This window comes from Homo sapiens, chromosome 1, assembly GCF_000001405.40.
Source record: "Homo sapiens chromosome 1, GRCh38.p14 Primary Assembly".
In the NCBI taxonomy this organism is placed as follows: Eukaryota; Metazoa; Chordata; class Mammalia; order Primates; family Hominidae; genus Homo; species Homo sapiens.
The window spans coordinates 186,940,955-186,966,055 of record NC_000001.11 but is presented as its reverse complement, the minus strand read 5'-3'; the positions used below and the strand labels follow the sequence as shown (position 1 = coordinate 186,966,055).

The 25,101-nt window shown below is 35.3% G+C and overlaps 1 protein-coding gene across 5 annotated transcripts in view, besides 1 other annotated feature; it reads right to left on the bottom strand.

Annotated features, from left to right (window-relative positions):
* The window catches only part of PLA2G4A (phospholipase A2 group IVA), a 160,033-nt gene that overhangs the window by 22,926 nt on the left and 112,006 nt on the right, over positions 1 to 25,101 (bottom strand). For 4 of the 5 annotated variants that reach the window (XM_011509642.3, NM_024420.3, NM_001311193.2 and 1 more), the window contains 5 exons: positions 19,282 to 19,419; positions 19,095 to 19,187; positions 15,328 to 15,399; positions 9,712 to 9,954; positions 463 to 647 (listed from right to left, as the gene is read on the bottom strand). In XM_011509642.3, coding sequence (XP_011507944.1) covers positions 463 to 647; positions 9,712 to 9,954; positions 15,328 to 15,399; positions 19,095 to 19,187; positions 19,282 to 19,419 — 731 coding nt within the window. Of the gene's footprint in view, positions 1 to 462; positions 648 to 9,711; positions 9,955 to 15,327; positions 15,400 to 19,094; positions 19,188 to 19,281; positions 19,420 to 25,101 lie in introns of those variants that run through there. The other variant, XM_047422599.1, reaches the window with a different exon arrangement.
* Positions 15,192 to 15,392: a silencer, noted in NCBI's record as "peak520 fragment used in MPRA reporter construct". NCBI's record gives its function as "represses an SCP1 promoter by STARR-seq MPRAs in K562 erythroleukemia cells {active_cell/tissue: K562}" and the evidence as "EXISTENCE:reporter gene assay evidence [ECO:0000049][PMID:32103011]".

Genomic DNA, 25,101 nt, shown 5'->3' with positions numbered 1-25,101 from the left:
GGCCTTGTCCAGTTCACCAAAAAACCCCCTTGTTAATATATCTTCAGTTTTCATAATACTACACACTTCCTTTGTTCTCCTCCTTTCCCCTTGTTAGCATTCTTTAAAGTACTATTTATGTCTACTTCTCTTCTCAGGGTGTACCCTCTCCATTCATGGTTTTAATGATCATTTACTTGCTAACTCCCAAATCTCAGCCTCATTTCCTTTCTAAACTTCAGACCCACTGTATTATTCTTGTCCTGCTCAGGGCTCTGACCTTTATTGAGCTCATTAGAATTATTTAAAAGTGTCTTTAAGCAGGAGACTGATTGAACCATGTTTGCGTTTTAGAACTATTACTCATAAAGATGTAGAAAATACATTAAAGGAATAAGAAACTGGAGTCAAAGGGACTAAGAGATCTATAAGGCAAGCAAGAGAATGTGGTAGAGAATGGAATGCTGTATTATGTATCCTTACCTTGAACGGAGGACTAGAGTCACTTGGCCTTGCAGAAAAGTCAAAGGAGATTATGAGATCAACCCCTCTCTGAGGTCTCAGTATCAAGGGATACGGCAGGTTAAATGTGAGCCCACTGTCCACTACATGAATCTTTTTACTTTTGACATCCAGAGGCTCATATATTCGCTCAAATTCATCAGGATCTTAAAAACATAAAAGAAAAACAAGAATGAATTAAATGATCATTCATCAGTATTTATCATCTAAAAATGTTGGTTTCAAATTTGAAAGAATTTCATATGATTAGGCCCTCAGGCTTTGGAGACAAATAGAGCTGGGCATGAAACCAACTTTAGCAATTGTAATTATTACCTTTAAGTCTTAGTTTCTTCATCTGTAACATCAGGATAAAAGTAATTATCAAATAAGGTTGCTGTGAGGATTTATAGGGACAACGCATGGAAAGCACTTAGCTCAGGTCCTGGTATTAACTCTAAGCTATGATCACTTCAATAGTATTATCTTACATTACGTAGGTCTTTACATGTTTCTAAACATTTCCTCATGCATAATCTTGTTTAATTCTTATAACAGACAGGTGAGGCAGAGGACATCTGTAAATGGAGGGTGAAGCCAATGAAGAGTCATCTCGAAGGTGGCACAACTGGGAGGTGGCAGACTCTGTATGGTTCCCAGGCTGCCTCTCTTGAGGGTGAGTGTGCATTCCACCACAAGGTGGGAGTTCAAGGAAATCATCCAGCCAACACACCCAGCAAATATATGTTGGCTACTACCATTCAGATATGATTCCAGATGCTGAACAAGATAGATACATGCTCTGCTCTGATAGAGCTCATATTGCGAGTACACCTCCAATAAGTAAATAAATGTATCAAGAGGGCACTTCATAACGTGATAAATGCAATGAAGAAAATGATCAAGGACACTATAATAAGGAGTAAGTAACTTCAGGTGGATGGTCAGGGGAGATGCCTCTGAGAAGAAAACCTTACACTGAAATAAGAATAATGATACGGAACAGGCCACCTAAAGATTGGGAGGGTGGGATCCAGAAGTTACCAGGGAGAGGGAGGAGCTAGAGCAAGGGTCCCAAGGCAGAATCAGGCTGGGTGTGTTTGAGGACAGCAAGGAGCCTGCAGTCTGAGGACAGTATGGGAGGAGAACAGATGAGATGGCAAGGGGTCTGAAGAAAAAGAGGACCTAGAGATCATCAATTTTATGAAAAAATAATACTGATAACACATTACTCTTCACATTTATGTGTGGTGCTCCTAATTCACTTGCCAGGAAAATAAAACATGACCAGAATTGAACTGGTTTGAATTGAACTGGATAAAATGCCATACAGCTGTTGTGCTCTGTTCCCTTGTCCACACTCTTGTTTCCTCCTGCTGTTAGAAGAAGGCTGGCAAAGCCCAAGAGGGAGGCCTATGATAGTAGAATAAAGTGAAGATGGTCACACCAGATATGAATAAGGATCTCTGACTTAATACCTATGTACATACATACATGCTCAGCACACAGTAGGAACCTAGTATATGTTAGTTTCCCTTCATAGATTTCTAAGTAAGAATAATACTATAATTCTCCTATAGTCAGTTTTACTTATTAGATTTTAAGAGCATGAAATCAAAAAGGAAAGCAAATCTTTAAATTCTTCTTGTCCAATTAAATCCATAATCCTCTTTATAAATAAAAGTTGAAGTAAAAACACCAATGAGACAGTCATAATATTTTATTCAGTGTAAAGTGAAAGAATAAGACTTTGGCATAGTTATTAATACTTTAAAGAAACATTAATATCCAACGTTCTACAGTTAACAAAGTCATCTGTTTCCTTACATCTATTAAAAATTCCCATTTCTAAAATACTGAATAACAAATAAATGTTACAAACGCTTACTAGTGATGCTTATAAATAAAGAAGAATAAATTTTATGGCTGAGGCAATTCATACGGCCCAGAATAGGTGAAGCAAAGAGGAAATTTGTGAATAACGGTCTTGAATAAAACCAAATGTGCTAAAAATAAAGCTATTTTTAAAGACAACGATAAGGTAATATGGCTAAATAATAAAGGCTGGCTGTGTCCAAGGCTAACTTATAGGGCAATAAGGAGAGAGACGAGAAATAGTTCTTTAAATAATTATCTGTAGATCAATTCTGTTTTCTTAATAAGTATTTACAAACAGTAGTGAGAATGCACTTTGCCATCAGCCAAAATACTAGACTACCTATCACAGAACCTGGAATGTAACGATGTAAGACTGAACTATATAAACTGTCGAGCCCAATTTTAATATTTATTCCTCTGAAATTTTTAGTTTAACAATTACATATGTGAACATCTTACAGGTAAAAATATTCTTTGGCTTAAATTTATTTTTAAATATTTTACTAAAAAGTTATAATTCATTAGTTGGTTACTTACATTTATCCTAATGATGACTTCATTTATACTGAGTCTATTATGTATCAGAAATTTCATATATAAGATTTACTATTCTTATACGACTCTTACAAAGGAGACAGCCATTTTAAAGATAAGGAAACAATCTTACAAAGGAGGTAGCCATTTTAAAGATAAGGAAACTGAGGCTCACAGAGGTAAAATAAATTGTCTATTTTCAAACAGATAGTGAGAGTCAAGATTCCAAGCCAGGTTCACAAGGTCTAAGCCCTAAGCACGGTGTGACACTATTACTTTAGAAAGTGGCATGACTAACTAAGAGGGCTTGAAATGAATAGTATAAAAAATAATAACACAAAGTGACCGGGCGCAGTGGCTCACGCCTGTTAATCCCAGCACTTTGGGAGGCCGAGGCGGGTGGATCACGAGGTGAGGAGATCGAGACCATCCTGACTAACACGGTGAAACCCCGTCTCTACTAAAAATACAAAAATTTAGCCGGGCGCGGTGGCGGGCGCCTGTAGTCCCAGCTACTCTGAGGCTGAGGCAGGAGAATGGCGTGAACTCGGGAGACGGAGCTTGCAGAGAGCCGAGATCGCGCCGCTGCACTGCAGCCTGGGCGACAGAGCAAGACTCCGTCTCAAAAATAAATAAATAAATAAATAAATAAATAAATAAATAAATAAATAAATAAAATAAAATAACTACAAAGTATAGAGTTTATCAGCACATAATCCTATCAGTTATTAAAACCACATTAATATGTGTATTTTATCGCAATTCAACCTAACATTTAAAAACACAATAATGGGAGTATGGTAGTCCCTACTTACTTGGGGGGATATGCCACAAGACCCCCCAGTGGATGTGCGAAACTGTGCATAGTACAAATCTCTACATATACTATGTTTTTTCTTACACATGCATACCCATGATACAGGTTAATCTATAAATTAGGCACAGTAAGAGATTAACAACAGTAAAGATAAAAGAGAACAATTATAACACTATGTCAGCATCACTACTCTTACACTTTGGGGCCATTATTAAGTAGAAAAAAAAAGGTTACTTGAATACAGACATTGTGATACTGTGACAGTCAATCTGGTTAACTGAGATGGCCACTGAGTCACTAACGGGCAGGTAGCATATGCAGCCTGGACAGAGAGATGATTTGCATCTCAGGAGGAAAGGCATGAGAGTTCATCATGCTACTCAGAATGGCATGCAATTTAAAACTCTGAATTATTTATTTCTGGAATTTTTATTTTTTTCAAACTGTGGTTGACAGCAGGTGACTGTGGGTAACTAAAACTGAGGAAACTGAAACCTTGAATAAGGGAGGAAGATTACTCTAATTTTACATGCAGTGATTTTCCCTAATCTAATGAAAGTATAATTATAATTCATAAAATTTTTTGGCTTCATAAACTCAGTTTTTAAAAAAAAATTTAGCTGAAAGTGTAACCAAAAACATGATTTCTCTCATATTCTGTTTGGTTTGCCCCTTATCATCAGTAAACTGGTAGTATCCTTTTATCCTTTCTTAAATCCAAGAGTGAGGGCATTTGAGGGGAAAATCATGTGGACCAATTCCCAGCTTTAGTCTGTAGCTAAACACCATTGTTTCCACCTTCAAGATAAATTGATGGTAAGTAGTGTTCCTTTTATTGTTATTTTATTTTTAAAACAATTTTTATTTTGTAGACAAATAATAATTGCGTATATTTATGGGGTAAAATGTGATGTTTCATTACATGCATACATTGTGGAACAATCAAATCAAGCTAATTAACATATTCATAACATCAAATATTTATCACTTCTTTGTGGTAAGAACATCTAAATCCTCTCTTTTAGCTATTTTGAAATGTACATTATTATTAACTGCAGGCACCATGCTGTGCAATAGATACCCAGCACTTATTCCTCCTCTCTCACTGAAACTTTCTACCCTTTGAGCAAGGTCGCCTCTTTCTCCATCTACTGCCTCCTCCCCAAATCCCCCCCCAGCTTCTGGTAATCCTCACCCTATTTTCTACTTCTGAGTTCAACTTTTTTAGATTGCACATAACAGTGAGATCATGTAGTGTCTGTCTCATTTCACTTAGTATAATATCCACTAAGTTCACCCATGTTGCAAAAAACAAAAAAACCAAGCCAAACCAGTAAGTAGTGTTTCCTAACTGTGTTGCAAAAAGCATAGTTATGCAAGATATAAACTGATGTCTCATATACAAAATAAGAGTGCCATGATTAAATAAGGTCATGTCTTGAGAAAGACAAAATTCAACAACTTAAAGTACTAGCCAATTACATTGCGCATTCCCTATTCTCCTTCCTATGGCTTCCACTAACAGCACTTTATATGAAAATGCTAACCAATCCTCCAAATAATTCTATAACATGGGTACCATTGTTATTTTTATTTTATAAGTAAATTGAGGCTTATGCTACCTGACTGCCTAAGATTGCCTGCTAGTAAAGGGTCCAACTGAGATTCAAATATAAGCTAGTCTCCTTTTAAAGTACTATCCTCAAGCAGCTTTAAGTAGGACTTAAACTCAGTAGGGTATCTCATTGTATTTGAAGAAGGAGATCGAATTGTAAATGTTCCCAAATTTATTTGAACTTAAACCCAATTTACTGTATAACATCTATTAAATGTCATAGAGTATTGGATAAATGCCGTTATGGAAGAATATCCTCCTACAATTTAAAACGTACAAGGTTTCTAAACGTGTGAATGAATTAATGCGGTTGTGGAAACATAACTCTGTTTTAGAATTATGTAACATTTCCTTAAAGCAGGTCAGCTTTGGATATTTGTAATGACCATTTTATAAATACATCACACAGATTCAATGTACAAATATTTGGATGTCTGTGTTTTGAACTCTAGCCTAAATTAACTCATGTCTTTATTTCTTATTTCCAGATGGTGTGTCACAGTAAGTAGGATAAACACAAAAGTAAACAGGAAAGAAGTCATATGACTAATAAAAAGCTCTCCAAAATTTGTTTCTACAGGTACACAACTATTTTGCAGTAAACACATGAGTGGAATTTTATCCTATTATAATTTCTTCTGTTTACAAAATACAGTCTACAAGATTAAGTAGTAGGCACAAAAATAGCGCACTTTTACTGATTTTAGGTTGAGAGATTGCTTTAATTCTAAAACACCCACATTTTAATTTATATAAACAAAATCATCATAGGTTAAACAAATGTAACATTTTTCCAACCTAATATCTAGATTAGATAAAAATCTTTTTTTTGGCATGGGGGTTGCAAAATTTAAAAAGAAATGTGCTTAATTAATGTTTTAAATAAGTTGTGGCTAAAAGTTTTAGTTGGTATTCTTTAAAATAGGAATTTTAAGGAGGACCTTATGAACCAAAATTATCACAATTTGTGATAAATGTTTTAACTTTTCATTCCAAACATATGATTATTCTAAAAATTGGAAACAACCAGAGGGAGGTAAATCAGATCTATCTTTGTAAGGACTCTTTCTGAAAAAGCACTAGTTCATTCAGTAAATTCAGTCTAAAATGAAATTATTTTTAGCAATGTTGGCCTGTAAAGCATAAAGTTGAATGAATCTGTGAACTGACTGAACTAAATTTTTTAATGAAATCAATACCCCATATACATTTTTCAACTGAATACATAAAAATGAATAAAGTGTAATTTAAATGAAATACACACAATGAAATAAAATGTAAAGTTCTTTCCAAACGTCATTAATTTAAAATAATTTTAGCTTAGAACATTTTCAGGTATCTCAAAAAAATTGGTTTATATAATGCCATATTTGGGGATGATATATTTCCTTATGTTATTTTATGAAAACTGCCTATAACTCTTCTTTCAAAGGGCACTAAATGAAGAAAGGAGTCGACAAGGTGGTGTACAACTATTATTCTCCAAATGCGAACACCCGCAATCAACTCATATTCTTTTATTTTTTTTTTGAGATGGAGTCTGGCTCTGTTGCCCAGGCTGGAGTGCAGAACCAAGCACATTATAAGTACTCAGTAAACCTAAGTGAATGAAAGAATGAACAAAAGACAGAAAGAAGATGAAAATTCCTCCTTTCTCACTGAAACTTTCTAAAATAGTTTAAAAGGAAGAGGCATACATCCTAAAGTTGCCAAATTTAGCTAAAAAAATACAGGATGCCCGGTTTAATTTGAATTTCAGATAATCAACAAATAATTATTTAGTGTACATCCTAAATGCTGCAAGAATGATATATAAATTATCCATATACATATTTAAAATTCAAATCTAACTGGGTATTCTGTATTTTATCTGGTAACCCCAACACCACCAAATCTACATAAAATATTGCAAAACTTCCAGGAAGTTGTTAAAATGTGGAGTGTAGACCTCGTGCTGTGAAAACTACATAAGGAGCTGGTGCAATCCAAGTAATAATGTAAAACAAATAGAATAAAGTATACACAAAGAAAACTTCCATTTTTACATAAGCAAGTGGATGACTAAGAAAACCAAGGGCTAAGGGGAATGGTATGTGGCCAAGGGAAAAGCTTGGAAGCAATGTCAAGAAACCTGTGTCCCAATCTCAGCTCTGTTGAGAAATTTTAGGCAAAGATGACAGAATTATCTCCTTTGATCTTCGCTTTCTATAGAGTAAAATAACTGAAGATTCTCTATATATCGACATGCTCTATGAATTTGTAGTTTTTTTAAGCTCATCATCATTAATCTATAAAGCATACGTTTCTAGAAGAGACATATTTAATTGGTATTGCGATGGCAATAAGCATAGTTATGTGACTAAACAAGAAAAATAATGTCACTGAATGTATGGTTAAGTGTATTTTTATTTTGGATGAATTTAAAAAGAGATATTGACTTTATAACAATTAGAATTTCATTATAGTTAATATATTAGTTAATATGCTATATAACATAGTGAATCCTGTTGGGATTACCGGTATATAATCAGACATACCTCATATCCTAGAGTTTGATGCCATAAACATAACACAAAATATAATGAGTTTGCACTAATCTTGTTTAAACAACAGGGGTCATTTTTGCCTCTGTAATACCTTTTAAGGGGTCAAGCAACAAATAGAAACAACAATACCAAAACAACAACAAAATCCAAAGCTATATCCTAAATTTCACAAGTATGTTCTAGGTATGATGCTTAAACAAAAGGCAGTAGAAAAATTTTTTGGAAATATCCCATTTAAGTTTTTACTGCATCTAATCAAAATGTCCTTAGACATAGATGATTGAGGAATGACATTTGGACGTTAAGGAAAAGATGATGGTGTGGTGAAATATAAAAATTTAAAATGACAGAATTATCACCAAAAAATTATTGTATATTGATTGGTCACCAAAGCAAATTTAACTTTATAACAGGCATGGAACTGAAAACCAAAGGGAATTATTCTTGAGGATCTGGCTAAGTGACAAACCTGAAAGTGACAAGGTTCTTGCTGGGCAGTTTTAAGAAAGTTACCTAACCTTTCTGAGAACTGGAGAGATAGTTCCAATAGCCTAGTGAACACTACAGGCTGGCTTACTCAAGCCCTATGTTGCACTAGGGAGTCAGGCTAAGAATGTGTTTGCCAGATTCCCTTGCAGCTCGAGTTCTCCTGAGACCTGGCCTCTGCCAAAGAGAAACAGTCAGTCACATAAAATCTGAAACAGAAAATGAGACAGAAGCTACATTTCCACTATTTCTGCTGCCAAGCACAGTTGCCAACACATTTGTGGGGATGATTCTGAAGTGGTTTTTGAACCATTCCTGAAAGCTCAGCCTAAAGCTTGCTCCCTGAAGGTTTGGAACGATTTTATAAGCACCTAATTCCCTTATTTAAATTCCTGAAAGTTTGGAACGATTTTATAAGCACCTAATTCCCTTCTTTAAATCCCTTTCAGAAAATAGGAAATAGTTTCCAAATTTCTGCAACTGAACTGTGACCAGTACAGAGAAGATCTAACATCTCCCTCAATATTTTTTTTATTTTTTATTTTTTTGAGACAGAGCTTCACTTTGTTGCCCAGGCTGGAGTGCAGTGGTGCAATATTGGCTCACTGCAATGTCTGCCTCCCAGGTTCAAGCGATTATTGTGCTTCAGCCTCCTGAGTAGCTGGGATTACTTAGTAGAGACGGGGTTTCACCATGTTGTCCAGGCTGGTCTCGAACTCCTGAGCTTGGGTAATCCACCAGTCTCGGCCTCCCAAAGTGCTAGGATTACAGGAGTGAGCCACTGCTCCCCGGCCGTCCTCCTCAATATTATTAATGAAAATTTTCTATACTGACATGTCTAGGCCATTTCCTCTCCAATGTAAATTTTTCTTTAAAAAAAAATCCAGGCCAGGTACGGTGACTCACACCTGCAGTCCCAGCACTTTGGGAGGCTAAGGTAGGAGGATCACTTGAGCCCAGGAGTCTGAGACCAGCTTGGGCAACACGGCAAAAACCTGTCTCTACAAAAACTACAAAAATTAGCTGGGTATGGTGGTGTGCACCTGTAGTCCCAGCTACTCAGGAAGCTGAGGCAGGAGGATTGCTGCAGCCCAGGAATTAAGGATGCGGTGAGCCATGATTGTGCCACTGCACTGCAGCCTGGGTGACTGGGTGAGACCCTGTCTCAAAAATACAAACAAACAAACAACAACAAAAAAAAAACCCTAGTCATTTGAAGCCCTTCACACATTAAATGCAGGTTGTAATAACTGATAATAAATGAGTAAGTGTTAATAATAATTAAAATGCTTCTCTCCAGAGAAGGAATAAAGATCTCCTGCATTAGCTCCCACTAATTATATTTGTACACTTACCTGCTACAGCTGCATCCAGTTCATCATCATCAAAGGAGTCCTGTGTGGCAAAGTCACTCAAAGGAGACAGTGGATAAGATGTATTGAGATTCAAGCCCAGCATGAAGTTGTGTACCTTCCCAGCACGTCCTTCTCTGGTATTGAATAAAGCTGAATCACTCACCAAGGCCATTATCATACGATGAATCCAACTTGCTTGATTATCACTTTGATAGTCACTTCCAGCATCTTCATTTTCAGTGCCTAGGGAAAAATAAAAGGTCACCATACAGACTCCAAAATACATGTTTAAAAAGGGATCTTTGGGCTGGGCACGGTGGCTCACGCCTGTAATCCTAGCACTTTGGGAGGCCAAGGCGGGCGGATCATGAGGTCAAGAGATTGAGACCATCCTGGCCAACAAGGTGAAACACCATCTCTACTAAAAATACAAAAAAAAAAAAATTAGCTGGTCATGGTGGCGTGCACCTCTAGTCCCAGCTACTCGGGAGGCTGAGGCAGGAGAATCGCTTGAACCCGGGAGGCGGAGGTTGCAGTGAGCCGATATTGCATCACTGCACTCCAGCCTGACGACAGAGCAAGACTCTGTCTTAAAAAAAAAAAAAAAAAAGGGATCTTCTTTGGATAATTGAATGTTAAAATTAACAATAAAGCTCTATATTTGGTTTAACATGTGTATTTGCCTAAATTAATATTGCAGTTAATCATTTTTGTTCTTAATTTGTTCTTAGTTCTCCTTTTACCTACAGTGCGTGTAAGGGGTATATTCTCGACAGTGCCACTTGATCTATGCTCAGATTTCCAGGTAAATTTCTTTCATGTTCCCCCTTCCCTTCTTTCCTGAATTGATTTCTTCCTTTTCTCTGGCTTCAAGTGCACGCACTTGCATGCACACATATAACTTACACACAGAAAATCCAGTGGTTAATTCTATCCTCTACATTTCTTAAGTTACCTTAAGAAATCTTACCCTGTTTAACAAACATTCAGGATTTCTGCAAAATGAGGAGAGAGAGCTAAAGGATTCAACATATATTTGCTACTAAATAAACACCCTTATGACCTATTGATCTTATGACCTGTCATTTCATCCTTGCTTATAAAGTTTGGGGATTTAAAAGCCTTTAATTTAAACAAATGCCTAAACATTTTAAAATTCAGCAATCACCCCAAAGAAGCAGTTTTAAATGACTTTTTCCTTACCACCTATGCATACACCATTACTCCTGGGAAATTATATTGTATGGTCATTTATAGCACTGCCTCCAGAATCAGAATCCTTGGGTCTCAACCCTCTCTCCACTATTTTCTAGTTACTTTCCCCTTCTCTTCCTCCATTTCCTCACTGATAAACCTCCTAAAGTTGTGAGAATTAACTGTGTTTGTGCATCTATGTAATGTTCTTAGAAAAATGCCTGGCTCGTATTAAATTCTTAATAAACACTAGCTAGCAGCAGAAACAGTTGTAGCAGCAGCAGCAGAAGCATCATAATCATCAATCTTATTTATTCATAATCAAAATCAAAGAATAATTTATGGTAATGTATAACTTCACCTGCCTAAACCCCGTTTTTTTCTGATTTCTAGGAACCCTGTATATAAATAGTCACACATTTATAAAACTGTGTGTGTATGTGTGCGTGATTGTGTGTGTGTGTGTTGAAATAAAGAGAAAAAAGAGATTCTATAGTCAGCTTCATAATTTCCAATAAATGTAAACTAAACATACATAAAACCATAATAAATATATATTTTTATTACACTTAAAATTATAGGGTACATGTGCACAATGTGCAGGTTTGATACATAGCTATACATGTGTCATGTTGGTTTGCTGCACCCATCAACTCATCATTTATATTAGGTATTTCTCCTAATGCTATCCCTCCCCCAGCCCCCCACACCCTGACAGGCCCTGGTGTGTGATGTTCCCCACCCGGTGTCCAAGTGTTCTATTGTTTAATTCCCACCTATGAGTGAGAATATGTGGTGTTTGGTTTTCTGTCTTTGTGATAGTTTGCTGAGAATGATGGTTTCCAGCTTCATGCATGTTCCTGCAAAGGACATGAACCCATCCTTTTTTATGGCTATATAGTATTCCATGGTATATATTTGCCACATTTTCTTAATCCTGTCTACCACAATGGACATTTGGGTTGGTTCCAAGTCTTTGCTATTATGAATAGCGCCACCATAAACATACATGTGCATGTGTCTTTATAGTAGCATGATTTATAATCCTTATCTTCACAGGTATTTGTTTAACTGAGCTGAGTAAATGAAGAGATCTTTCATTCAGTAACCAGTCCAGATGACTATATAGTCACCAAAAACAAATACACTACTTTCTACTCTTACACTTTTCTAATGCCAAACAGGACAAAATATGTCTTTTACTAGAACAATTCAGGCTTTAAAGTGAACGATTTCTATCTCTAGTTACACAGCATATAAATAGGATATGCAATTATTTCCAAAGATTTTGGGGCTGTCGCTTCTTACTTTTCTTCTTCTTATTCAATAAGCCCTCACTTCCATACCAGGATACCTTTGATAATGGCATCACTTGTGGGACAAACCCAACAGTCAACATATAAATGATACTTATTGCTTATTAATCATAACAGTAATAGTACATTTCTATTTGCATCGCCCTTTACAACTTAGAGCCCTTTTGTATGCATTTGCTAAATTAATGATTGCAACAATTCTGTGAGAGAAGGTAAATGGTTCCAGGATAGGTCTGAAGAAACTAAAGCTGAAAATGCCTAAAACTTTGCTCAAAATCATATGACTAAACATGAAAGAGCCTCAAGAGAATAAAAGGATAACCCACAGATTGAAAGAAATTATTTGCAACAGACATATTTGATTTAAAACATGTAATATAAAACATACAAAGAACACTTTAAATTCAATAATAAGAAAATAACCCCAATCCAAAAATGGGCCAAAGGCCTGAACTGATACCTCATCAAAACGATATACAGATAGCAGATAAGCATATGAGAAGATGCTTCAAGTTAAATGTCATTTGAGAAATGCAAATTAAAACAATAAAAAGATACTACTACATACCTATTAGAATGACCAATATCCAAAGCACAGGTAATACCAAATGTTTAAAAGATGTGGAGCAACAAGAACTCTCATTCATGGCTGGTAGTGGAATGCAAAATGGTACAGCCACTTTGGAAGACCATTTGGCAGTTTCTTACAAAACTAAATATACTCTTACCATATGATCCAGCAATTGTGCTCCATGGTATTTACCCAAATAAACTGAAAAATCTGTGTCTGCACCAAAACATGTACATAGATTTTTCTAGCAGTTTTATTCATAATGTCCAAAACTTGGAAGCAAACTTCAAGTTTTCCAAGTTCACCTTCCTCAGCAGGTGAATGAATAACTAAACTGTGGCACAACCTGACAATGTAATATTATTCAGTGCTAAAAAAATAAGCTATGAAGCCAAGAAAAAACATAGAGGAACTTTAAATGCACACTACTAAGTGAAAGATCTGAAAAGGCTACATTATTGTTTGATTCTGACTACATGACATTCTGGAAAAGGCAAAACTATGGAGAGAGTAAAATGATTAGTGCTTGTTAGGGGTTGGGGGAGGAGGGGACGGGGCAGGAGACAGGATTTTTAGAGCAGTGAAACTAGTGTGTGTGACATGTATAATGATGAATATATGTCATTACATATTTGTCAAAACCCATAGAATATACACTAACAGTGAGTCCTACTGTAAACTATGGACTTTGACTGATAATAATGTCAATTTAAGTTCATCACTTGTAACAAATGTACCACTCTGGTGTGGAATGTTTATAGTGGGAGAGGCAGGGGTGGTGGAAGGTGGACAGGGGACATATGGGAACTCTGTACTTTGTGCTCAGTTTTGCTTTGAGCCTAAAACTGCTCTAAAAACTCTATGTAAAAGAGAAAAAATAAATACTAAGAGCCGAAAAGAAAACCTTAACCACATACTACATATCATGCTGTAAGCAAGGCTGATCCTAAAACCAAAGCAGCCATATTCAACAGTCCTTGAACTTCTCAGCCTTAAGACTCAGCTAGTACTGTAGGGGTTATCAAATGTACTGACTATCTATAGAAATACTTAATAATGGAGAAACCATTATTCTGTCTCCTCAGTAGTCCCTAAATCAATACACAAATAATTCTAAAGATGCTAGGCATGTGATAGCTATCCCCTTTACAATAGCTAGCTTCCTTCATTAAAAGGAAATTCAAAACAAAAAGGACTTAAACAACTAAAATATATATAAATTTTAAATTTTAAAAATGAAGGAGCCAGGATGAAGACTTGCTTGCTTCCAGGACAGGGTTCTTTTGGGGTTCCTGCTTAATGATCAGGGCTGCTGGTCATTATTTGATTAGGCAGATCATGGGCTACATAACGCAGCAGGATAGGGGGGCAAATCAGGGCTGAACCCAACTTGCACTCATCTAGCCAAGCCTCATGCCCAGATGAAAGCGTTGGCTGCCCAGGGAAGGAATCCTCTTTTTTAATGTTCGCAAGACAACATACACTAGCCAAGCCATGGCCCTGTGCAGCTACATTCTCCAGAGAAGGCAGCTTTTCTTTAATTTACACAAACACATCTTCTGAGGAAGTAATAGCCCAGCTATGAAAAAAGAATTTTAATTTTAGTAATAATTAAGCAAGGATAAAACAGGCTCTTCCATGCCTAGTGGAATTAATTAAGTTTTGGACCAGAAAGCATTTAATATCTTCTAAAATCTAGATGATCATATTCAAACTGTAATAGGACAGATATATCCAGTTCTTATAAAGCCTTCCCTTTGTTTTGTTTTTTGTTGTTGTTGTTTTTGTTTTTGTTTGTTGGCTTTTTTTTAACTATTGGGAACATTTTTATAAATGGCTGTCTCAAAACACTGTGTCAAAATAATCTATTTTACCACAAAACATTTACAACAAATATGACTTTCATATTTGTTGCAAATCTGATCCTCACCTTATCTCTGCCCCAAGTCCATCACTGACTATCATAATCCACACCAAACTGCAAACTACCTTGTCAAAATGTAAAAGGGCTCATTTATACTATGAAATAATATACGTATCAAGTTCTTGATACTTTTACCCCACTTCATCACTAATCCTTTCTCAAGAGGGAGGGTGTAGCCAGTGGGATAAGGGTCAGGAATGGAGTGAGAATATAATTTTTCATGTTACTTAATAACAAAATTCTGAAAGACAAAATGTTAATTTTTAAAGCCATCTAAAAATGTTCCCAAATCACAGTAACCATGCTGAGAAGCCTAGTGCTCTAATCAGACTTAAAATAGAATTCAGCATTTCTACCATCTTGGATCTGTTCATTTGTTCAACTTATAGTATTTTTGAGGTATTAAAACAAAATAAATTAGGGATTTATATGTGCTGCCTATTTTATTAGACATGCAACATGCAATCCTCTCTCTCAACAGAAAGCTACAATTTTATCACTTCCGTGTCTGAAGTGAAGATTACCATCAGCATCTTGAGTGAGAAAATCAGACAGAGTGTTCATATCCTTTCCTCATGGATCTGGGCCAGAAAAGTTTCCGGCTCACTCACCTTTGGGTTCGTGTGATTCATCATCACTGTCCGAGCTATCATTACTCACAATATGCTTTGTGGTAATATTTTCTGTGAAAAGAAAACAAAAAAATTGAAGCATTTCAGGTGTCAAAATTAACAATTAATTTTAATATAAAAAAGTAATCTGAGCAAAACCACAGAGTGAGATCTACTAGCTCTACTAGTATAAATTTAAATCCATTTAATAATTCTAGATTTATTAGATTTAATCATGTTCTCAGATTTCTCACTGGAAACAAAATTTCCTGGGACATGAAAAATTAGTTTATATTTATTAATTCATGACTTAAAGAGGATAATTTTATGTTTATCATAATTCTGACAAAAATAACAACTTGATTATAGGAAGCTCCTTGTTATACCAAAAAATATGCCTTTTTCTTTATTAGATATTTTTAAGTGGTGTTTATGAAGATAAAGGATAAAACCAAAATCTACAGGTGAGCTACCAAACAGTTTTCTTAAAATGAATGAAAGATACTAACATAAATTATCTTTTGACTTTCAATAATATTGAAAATTGTCAGTTGAAATTCACCTTTTGGTGTCAAGAATTTGTGCTTCCTGCAGAACATATTAAGAGAGCAGTTATAAAAACTAAAATAACAACCAGAAATCCTTAAAACAAAGACAGCAGTAAATTCTAGCATAATAACTAGTTATCTTTCTTCTTTATGTTTTTTAAATGGTTACCCAGGCTGGCCTGCAGTGGCATGATCTCTGCTCATTTCAACCTCTGCCTCTGGGCTCAAGCAACCGTTCCACCTTAGCCTCCTGAGTAGCTGGGATTATAGGCATGGACCATCATGCTTGGCTAATTTTTTTAATTTTTTTTTTTTTTTTTTGGTAGAAATGAAGTCTCACTCTATTGCCTAGGCTGGTCTCAAACTCCTGGACTCAAGTGATCATCCTTCCTTGGCCTCCCAAAGAACTGGGATTACTGGTGTGAGCCACAGTGCCCAGACTAGTTGTCTTTTTTCAAGTAAAATGTGCGTGAATGAGCAAGAGTTAGTAATGGAAGGGTTAATAAATGCTTAAGGCAATGGATTGACATTTATTTTTTAAGTTTTTACTGGCATGATTATACATAAAAAATTTGATTAAATGTTCACAAGCTAATATTATTAGTTTCATTTCATGGCTATCATCAATAGTAATTTTGTTACACAGAGGTGTGGGAGATGTTAAGAAATGATCTATCCCAGGTGCCATATACATTAGGTGTGTTTCTAGTCCTACATTTATTTTCTTTTCCTTCCTTAAGTATTTTCTTTCTTTCTATTGCCTTTCTTTCTTTCTTCTTTCTTTTTCTTTTTTCTTTCTTTCTTTCTTTTCTTTCTTTCTCTTTCTTTCTTTCTCTTTCTTTCTTCTTTCCTTCCTTCCTTCCTTCTTTCTCTTTCTTTCTTTTTCCTTCTTTTTCTTCTTTCTTTCTTCTTTCTTTCTTTCCTTTCTTTCTTTCTGTCACATATGATAGTTTAAGAAAATAGTTCACCAAAATACTGTCTTATTTGTAAGGAAGAATTCACGATATGAATAGCTAACTATTCTGAATTTACATATTTTCCATCCTAGTATAATGTACAACTCCATCTCTCAAAAGTGTAAATTTTTCACATTCATTCAAAACTCCTTAGAGAGTAAGTAGTTTCATTCAGAGTTACCTGATTGTAGCCCAATTTACCTTAAAGTCTTTCTTCAGAAGGAAGAAAACAAAAAAGTAAAAATCATCTCTGAACACTCCTTTAGGAGATAGACTTCAGTCAGCCAAAGGATAGAGTAGTCACCAGGAGTCCTCAGAGTCCTCTTGGTCACCTCTCTGGTTTCATTTCTGGAAATCCTTACTTAATCTGAGGTAACATGCTTCCTGCTGACTGGCGGATCACACATACACGATATTCCCCCTCAGTCTGACACACAGTCCGAGTCAATAAGCTGCCAGACTGCCGGCCTCTAAAGAAACTTCTCAACAAAGAACCTTCTCAAAACTACCTAGTATAAACCTCCTCCTTTTCCTTGGCTTTTAGCCACTGTCTCACCCACATTCAGATCTGTTATTTCAGTCCTATTCTCTTCCTGCCTTAAGAAGAAAAAACAGCAAACCCTGGGTTATCTGGATTATTCAACAGAGGGGCACAGGAAGCAAGCCTCAATATGTGATCTTCTCTTTCTTCTTCTTTTTTTTTTTTTTCTAAAATCTTCACATAACTTAGAGAAAGGGTTTGTTATTTCCACAAAGAGTTGGGAACAGGACATTCATCTGGGATATAATGTTCATTAAAAGAAATCAAGTAAGATCATTTTATCATTATACACATTGCCTTGCAGTTACTCTTAGGAGAATGTGCCCCGTGGTAAATGTCACAGCAGGCTCATGGGTGCCACCTACCTTGTTTGCTCATTAACTGGGTGATGATCAGAGGACAGAAAATAAACAAACACAAGGTGCCTTATTTGTGTGTTTGTTTTTATTTTTATTTTAAAATCTTTGGCTCCAATGAAATTATAAGATAACTTTTCCATTATTCATTAAGAACTAACAAAAATACAAATGACACTCTTGAAAATATTATGAACTACAGGAGTTTACCACACTAAATACAAATATTAAATAAATTATCAAATAACTAAAATCAATTGTAGGAGCAGTGGAAATACTGCTTATAAGCCAACTTAATGTTCCAATTAATGTTACAATTGTATTCTCTTTTGCATGTAAACTTAATTAAATCAACTGACATTGCCTGGGATAACCAAGGACAGCTTGTTTAAAATTCCTGCAGGAAGCTTTTTGTATGCAAGCATTCTTCAAATAAATTAATTATTTAAAAAGTCATCAATGTTATTCTGTCGACTTCTTTGTTCTCAGATAGATCTTTGCTACTTCCCAGATAGAGAAGAGATAGTAGGTAGTTGTGTTGATAGTCCATCAGGCACTTCTCCCAGGTCCCTGCTGTTATGGCTCCAAATTCAGATTTAGCATGCCACCATTTCTTTATGCTATCAGTCAAAACAGTCAACCCAAAAATTAATGTTGATTAAAATACAGGTGGCAAGGCTTTTGGAAGAAACTGAATATAAATTTTTTGTTTGCTTTAAGTCAAATTTATTAATTTAAGAAAACATGTTTCTATGGTATTCCTATAATGAATGAAAACCACTGGTCCCCAGTTGAGATTGTCTACTTTCTCAGGTTTTGTAAATATTCGTAATTTATTATAGGCCAATAGGTTAGATTTAATGAAAATCATTAGTTTAAGTGTACTAGAGGTGATTTGATTTTTTTCCTTCTTTTGGGTATAGATTAATATAAGATGCTAACAGAATTCTGGTGAGTTAATATTTAAGGGTTAAATAAACTGACAAGCATAAGCTTCAGTGTTACATTGTATTTAGCTGTTGGTGAATCTAATCTTTAAAAAGCTATTCTTATTTGATAAAAAGAGGACTTTCTAATACAAATAGTATGTTTAGCAGTATAATGCGAAAAAGGAATAGAGATGTGTTCTATTAAAAATTACTCTTAGAAATCAATGATTTTTATGAGTTTTATAACCTCAGTGTCAAAATAATACTTAAGAAGTAACATATTATTTTTAGGAAATATTTAGATTGATTCAACCAAATTATTAATAAATTTAGAATAGTTGAAATATTTACAAAGATTTAATATTCTCTCTATATATGTCAATAAACTTTATCAATGTAGCAAGATTTGTATCAATGTAAGCATATCTTTAGGATACCTAATTCTTCCTCCATTGTGGAGCCTCTGCTTTGTGAACCAGAAACGCCCAAAACTCTGTTGAACAATATGGAAAAGGCACTGCCCCAGACACCTAAAATAAAACAGAAACAGAAAATAACTTAAAATATCCCAGGTTTCAAAATAGTCAAGCAAGTCAATGATATATTTTTATTTTGATCACTTACCCATTAAGAAATGCAAGGGGTTTTCTTCATACTTCTTAACGACTGTTCCCATAAAAAATTTGCTTCCAAATAAGTCGGGAGCCATAAAAGTACCATATTTAGCCATGCCAATTTCGTATGGACTAAATTCAACCCAATCTGAAAGTATTTTAAAAACAAGGCAATCCATTAATAGGAAAATGCTATGGCATGGTGTGCACAATTAATGATCACTTTAATAATGTTATGCTTATTCTCATTCATGTATTTAAAATATCAAAATGAAAACATTAGCCAAATGCCCATTATGTATATGACATTGTGTAGAAGTTGGGGGAAAAACGCTTAGAGGTGAATAAGACAAGACGATACAAAAAGATCCCTTCTAATTTGCAGAAATTAGATGCACTTTTCTATTTAAAAACTCAGATGTCTTTTTGAAGCCAGTTTTCATTCTACAGAACAGGAAACTGAAAACTGCTAACTAGATATAAATTTCATGGAGCATACAGAATAAATTAAACTCTTCTAAGCAATTCAAACAGTTTATTAAAATGAAATAAAATGTTTTCTAACATTTATCTTTTCTTCACCTTCACTTCAATTTTGCTCACTAACTGTCTATTCTAACTCCACAAGATTGCAATACAAAGTTTTTAGGTTGAATGCCTTAGAAAAACATGGTAATAGTGCCAGAGATGTATACTGTCTAAGCGCGGGGGCTCTGGAGCTGGACTGTCTGGGATCAAATCCTATTTTGCTGCTTATGAGCTGTGCTTACTGACTTGGGTATTATTCTCTCTGTCTTAGGTCCCTAATCTATAAAATGTGAATAAAATCACATATCACAAGTAGATAGTGTGTAGGATTGTTTTGAAGATCCACTGAGTTAAGAAATGTAAGGAGCTTAGAAGAGGACATAGCACATTTTAATTGCTCAATAAATAGTAGCCACTTTATGTTTCATGTATTCCCATGGCTACGACTATGTCTAATTATCATCTGCATCTTGATGTCTTCAGCAAGAACTCCTGGTTTCTGATTCCCATTTTCTACATTTGCAACTCCTTCATTCTTCTTCTTGTTGGTAAATGGTACTATATTATTCATGCCACTACTCACTTCAGGATTACCCTTGATGGTTCTCTTTTCCCTTATAGCTTACACAGGAAAAATCAAGTGCTGTAGGCTCTATCACGAGGTATGTTTAGAACCTGGTCACTTATCCATTTGTCCACTGTGATCGTACTGATACAAATTGCTGTATTCTCTCTCCTGGACCTCCACAATAACCTCCTAAAATGCTTCTACTCTGTTCACTTATTATCTTTTTGATATCCCATAGCCAGAATAAATCTTTAAAAATATAAATCACAGCACACCAGTGTCATCTGAAAGCTTCCCATTACACTGAAAATAAAAACAGGGCCGACAAGTTTCCGTCCTGGCCTAGATCCCACTCCCTGTGTGATGTGACCACATCCCTCCTAACAATGTTCTATCACATTTTGTCTTGCGTATCCCACTTCACTTCAGCCACACGGCACAGATCTTCTTGCTGTTCCTCAAAGAAGTCAAGTTCATTCCCACTTCAGCACCTTACACTTGCTATTCCCTTCTGCAGTTATAATGCTTGCTCCTACTTAATCTTTATTTTAGGGTCTTTGCTGATGGTCCATTTTAAAATCCCAACATCATCCACCCCTGCCCAACTCATAATTCTCTAACCCACTTCATTTTTTTTTCTAGCTTTTCTCTTTCTGAAATTATAATATGTCTGTAATATCTTATCCAACAATACAAAATCCAAACAATTCAAAAATTCATAAGCTTCTTTGTTACTCATTTGTTTGTAAAATCTAATCTGAATTCATTTAGTGAGAAATCAGGCTTGAATGTTAGTGGGGGCTCTTATAATTCATTTATCCCACTCAATGTGGATATTTATATATCCTATTGGAGAAATATCACTGATTATAAGAACCCAATGGGGTATTAGGTAATACACAATATGAGTATCTTTATATCTCCAAAATCCAAACATTTTGAATTCTAAAACACATGTCACCAAAGGTTTGGAAAAGGAATTGTGGATCTATATTTATTGTTTGTTCAATGGTAGGTCACAACACCTTCCTTTCATGAAGGAAGTGATGAAATCACAATTTTGATAACATTGTAATTCATTATATGTCAAAGCCAAATGGTACATATATTCTTCATCAGAAAGTGGTGTGATTTACAACGATTTACGTGGAATTTGTGAGACATAACTAGCAATGAATCAGAGGCTGTTAGGAAAATTCCTGTATTCATACAAGTAATTTCCTATCTCTCAATTTCACAACCCTATCATGGGAACTGAGGCATAACAACTTCCTGGTTCCTGCTTTTCTAGCGATCTCTTCTTGATTAGCGCCATGGCCTGGGCACATAGTAACTTAGGCATTCTCAAAAGCTAAAATGAGCTCTGCACCCCTCACTGAAGAACTCACGGTGTTAGTTTTCAACTAATTCTCTCCTGCTGGTGACTCTACCTTTTGACTCCAACCTCTCTCCTGCGCTTCCATGTACTTTCAACTTCCTTTGGGGCCCTTACACTCAGATATTCTGTCATCTCCTCCCACTATACTTACCTAGATAAGAACTCATCACCCTTCTTCCCGGGCCAGCTTACCTATTTCAGTAAACCATGCTATCACTCTATCAAATCCATCATTGCATCACACCGATAACCTTTAGGCCTCTCATATCCATCTATTCTTTTCTTATCAGTATGTCCCTAGTTCCAGGGCCTTATCACAAAAGCACAGTGATATCTCTGCTTCCAGTTTCATTCCTTTCCATTCTGTTTTTATTGGTCACCAAAGTGACTTTTTCAAAAACACTACATAAATAATTTTATTGCCCTGCACAAAAGCATTAACTATTTCCATTATCATCAAAATCAAATAAAAATATTTCTGTCTGGAATTAAAATCATTCCATAACTTGGGACTATTGGTGCCTCCAAATACAACACCTTTTCTTCACCAATGTGTGCATAAGTCCTAGACTAGTTGTTTTTTTTAATAGTGATGCCCAAAACATAACTCTGGCTTCCCTTCTGAGCATTTTCTCATATTGTTTCCACACAAAGGTATCTTTTTACCCGTACTTGATAGATCCTTCTACATTCGACTTAAATCCAAGTTTCATCACCCTTTCTTACAACTATACTAAATCTCTATGACATCTCACCCTTATGTCAGGTCTACACACTTATGTCAGGTCTAGGTATATTATAGGAATTTTTCCATGCTTTATTTTTGTCTCTTTCAATAGGATTATAACTTTCTTGAGGAAAAATACTATATTTGTACTTCTAAAGTGTCTGTCAAAAAATTTAGCATGATGCTAAGTTCATAACCATAAGTTGTAATCCATAAATGCAGTTTATTCACCAGTGGAAATTTTTAAATGAACGTTTTAAGTCCTTTCAGCAATGTGATGTAGTGGAGGAGTCAGGAATTTCTAACAGTTTAAACACCAATGTTTATTTGTTGAAAATTTCCAAGAAATTTCTAAATGAAAGGTGTGTTTAAAATTATTCCAAGAGGAAGGGAAAATATTATCCGGTATTGTTGAAGTAAAATTGTTAATAAAGCTTCTGTAAGCTAATTTGATTATTTGACTTTTAAAAATATAATTCAGAGACTATCTCAACTTTTTCTTCTACACAGCCACTTTCAATCTAAGCATATATTGGAAGAATAAATTACAGACGTGTCTCTATTCTTTTTTTCCCAGTAACTCAAGTAAAGCTACTTGAACACTCAAGACATGTACCTTAAGATGTCTTATCTGGGTACAAGATTCATATAATTAATGTTTAATGATTTTGTCTAAATCTGTTGGAAGACACAGCTCAACCCGCCTTATGACAGAAGCTTAACAATGAAGGTTAATGATGCACCACTCATCTCAGTAGCAGTACTGCAGTGAAGCAGATGTCAAAAGAAGACACATCCAGGTCCAAAGACTACTAACTGAATATAAAACAGCATTTTTTCAGTCTAAAAGAACCCAGAATATCCACTCACCCAAATATTATTTATTCTTTAATTATTTTAGTTAAGTTTTCTTGGAAAATGGCTATTGACTAAAAATTCAGAATAAAATATAACCACCGTGAAAAGTCCAGAACAATCATGACAATAAAAACAAACTTTTATATTTGTATGCCTCTTTATAGTTTTCAGTCTCATCTTATGCATATTTCATATTATTGCCTTAATAGCTCTGGAAGATAAATCTTAGGGTTAATATATTTTTTAAAATAAGGAGGAAAATAAGAATCAGAGATTACATGACTAGCCTGAGGTATTCAGCTTAGAAGTATTGTAAGACAAGGCTTTTAAATTAGAATGTAGTGTTCTTTTGACCATGTAATTCTTTCTGGGTGAAGGATGATTTATTTGGCCATGCAAAAATCTGACTAGCATGCAAGTGTTATAGATCAAACAATTCCAAAAATTTCAAAGCTCCACAAGATAATAGCTATGGCTGGGGGGAAGCAATTTCATTATGGCGCTTACTTTTCTATGTAATAAAGTCTCAACTCTCTACTATGAACCCCATTATAGCCCAAGATGTGTGGTTCCTTGTTGCCATTGAGCACACCTGAGTTATCCCTGACCCTGCTACATGCCCCCTTCCACAATCCAATAATTAAATGTGCCTTTCATATTCAAATCCTATTAATCTTTAAGATCTAGACCTCTGACTTTTCTTATACAGCTTTCACAGAACATTCTAAATTGTTAAAATGTACTGGAAACTTATTATTAGGGCCTGCCATTGTTTACATACTTTGTCTCATTTTTTGGCAAAACATTGTGAGAAGTCTCATCTTCACTTAACAGATGAGAAAACTGGGTCTAACGTAGATTATATAACTTGGTCAAAATGACAGTGTATAGTAACAGTTCTGTACTCTCTTGTGCCTTAACTTCTTTAATAATTATTGTAAATTTTCCAAACAGACTATAAGGTCTTATAGGGTAGGGACAATATATTGTGGTGAGGAAAGAGGAATTCATCCTTAGCGCCCGGCAGACTGCTGCAATCTATATAGACGGTAATCACTATGTACACATCAGAAGTTAGTATGGTAAAATAAAAAGAACAAAGGATTTTTGAAACCAATTTCAGCACTGCTAATTACGTTCTAAGCAGCAATGTGCAAATTATTTAATCTTTATGAGGTTTTCGTTTTTCTTCTGTTGAACAGAGCTAAAAATACCTACTCCCCGGTTGTAGGAAACATGGAATAAAATAGCAAATGTGATAAGTGCGTTCTGAACCATAAGCATGACAAACATTTTAGCCAATATTTTAATAAACATTTGAATGAATGGATCCCATGTGTGCTAATTTTTGTAAACTATTCAAAATTTTTGTCTGAGAGGCAGTTGAGAGAAAAGTGAAAATTACAAAAGGATTCTGGATATATATGTGCCAATTACACACCACTCATGATGGTTTTTTAAGCTCATGGGGTGTCTGAAGTCACTGAGATAATTTTCCTAAAAATAGAATGAAGCCCACCAGCTACAGTCAGAAATGCTATTGTGCTGCAGACTAACACTGACAGAGGCCCCCCCAAAAGTATGCTGTTGTGCCCTTTTTTTTTTTTTTTTTTGAGACGGAGTCTCGCTCTATGGCCCCGGCTGGAGTGCAGTGGCATGATCTCGGCTCACTGGAAGCTCCTCTGTCTCCCGAGTTCATGCCATTCTCCTGCCCCAGCCTCCCGAGTAGTGTTGTGCACTTTTATAGTATCCAAGAAGCAAAGCTTGAGAA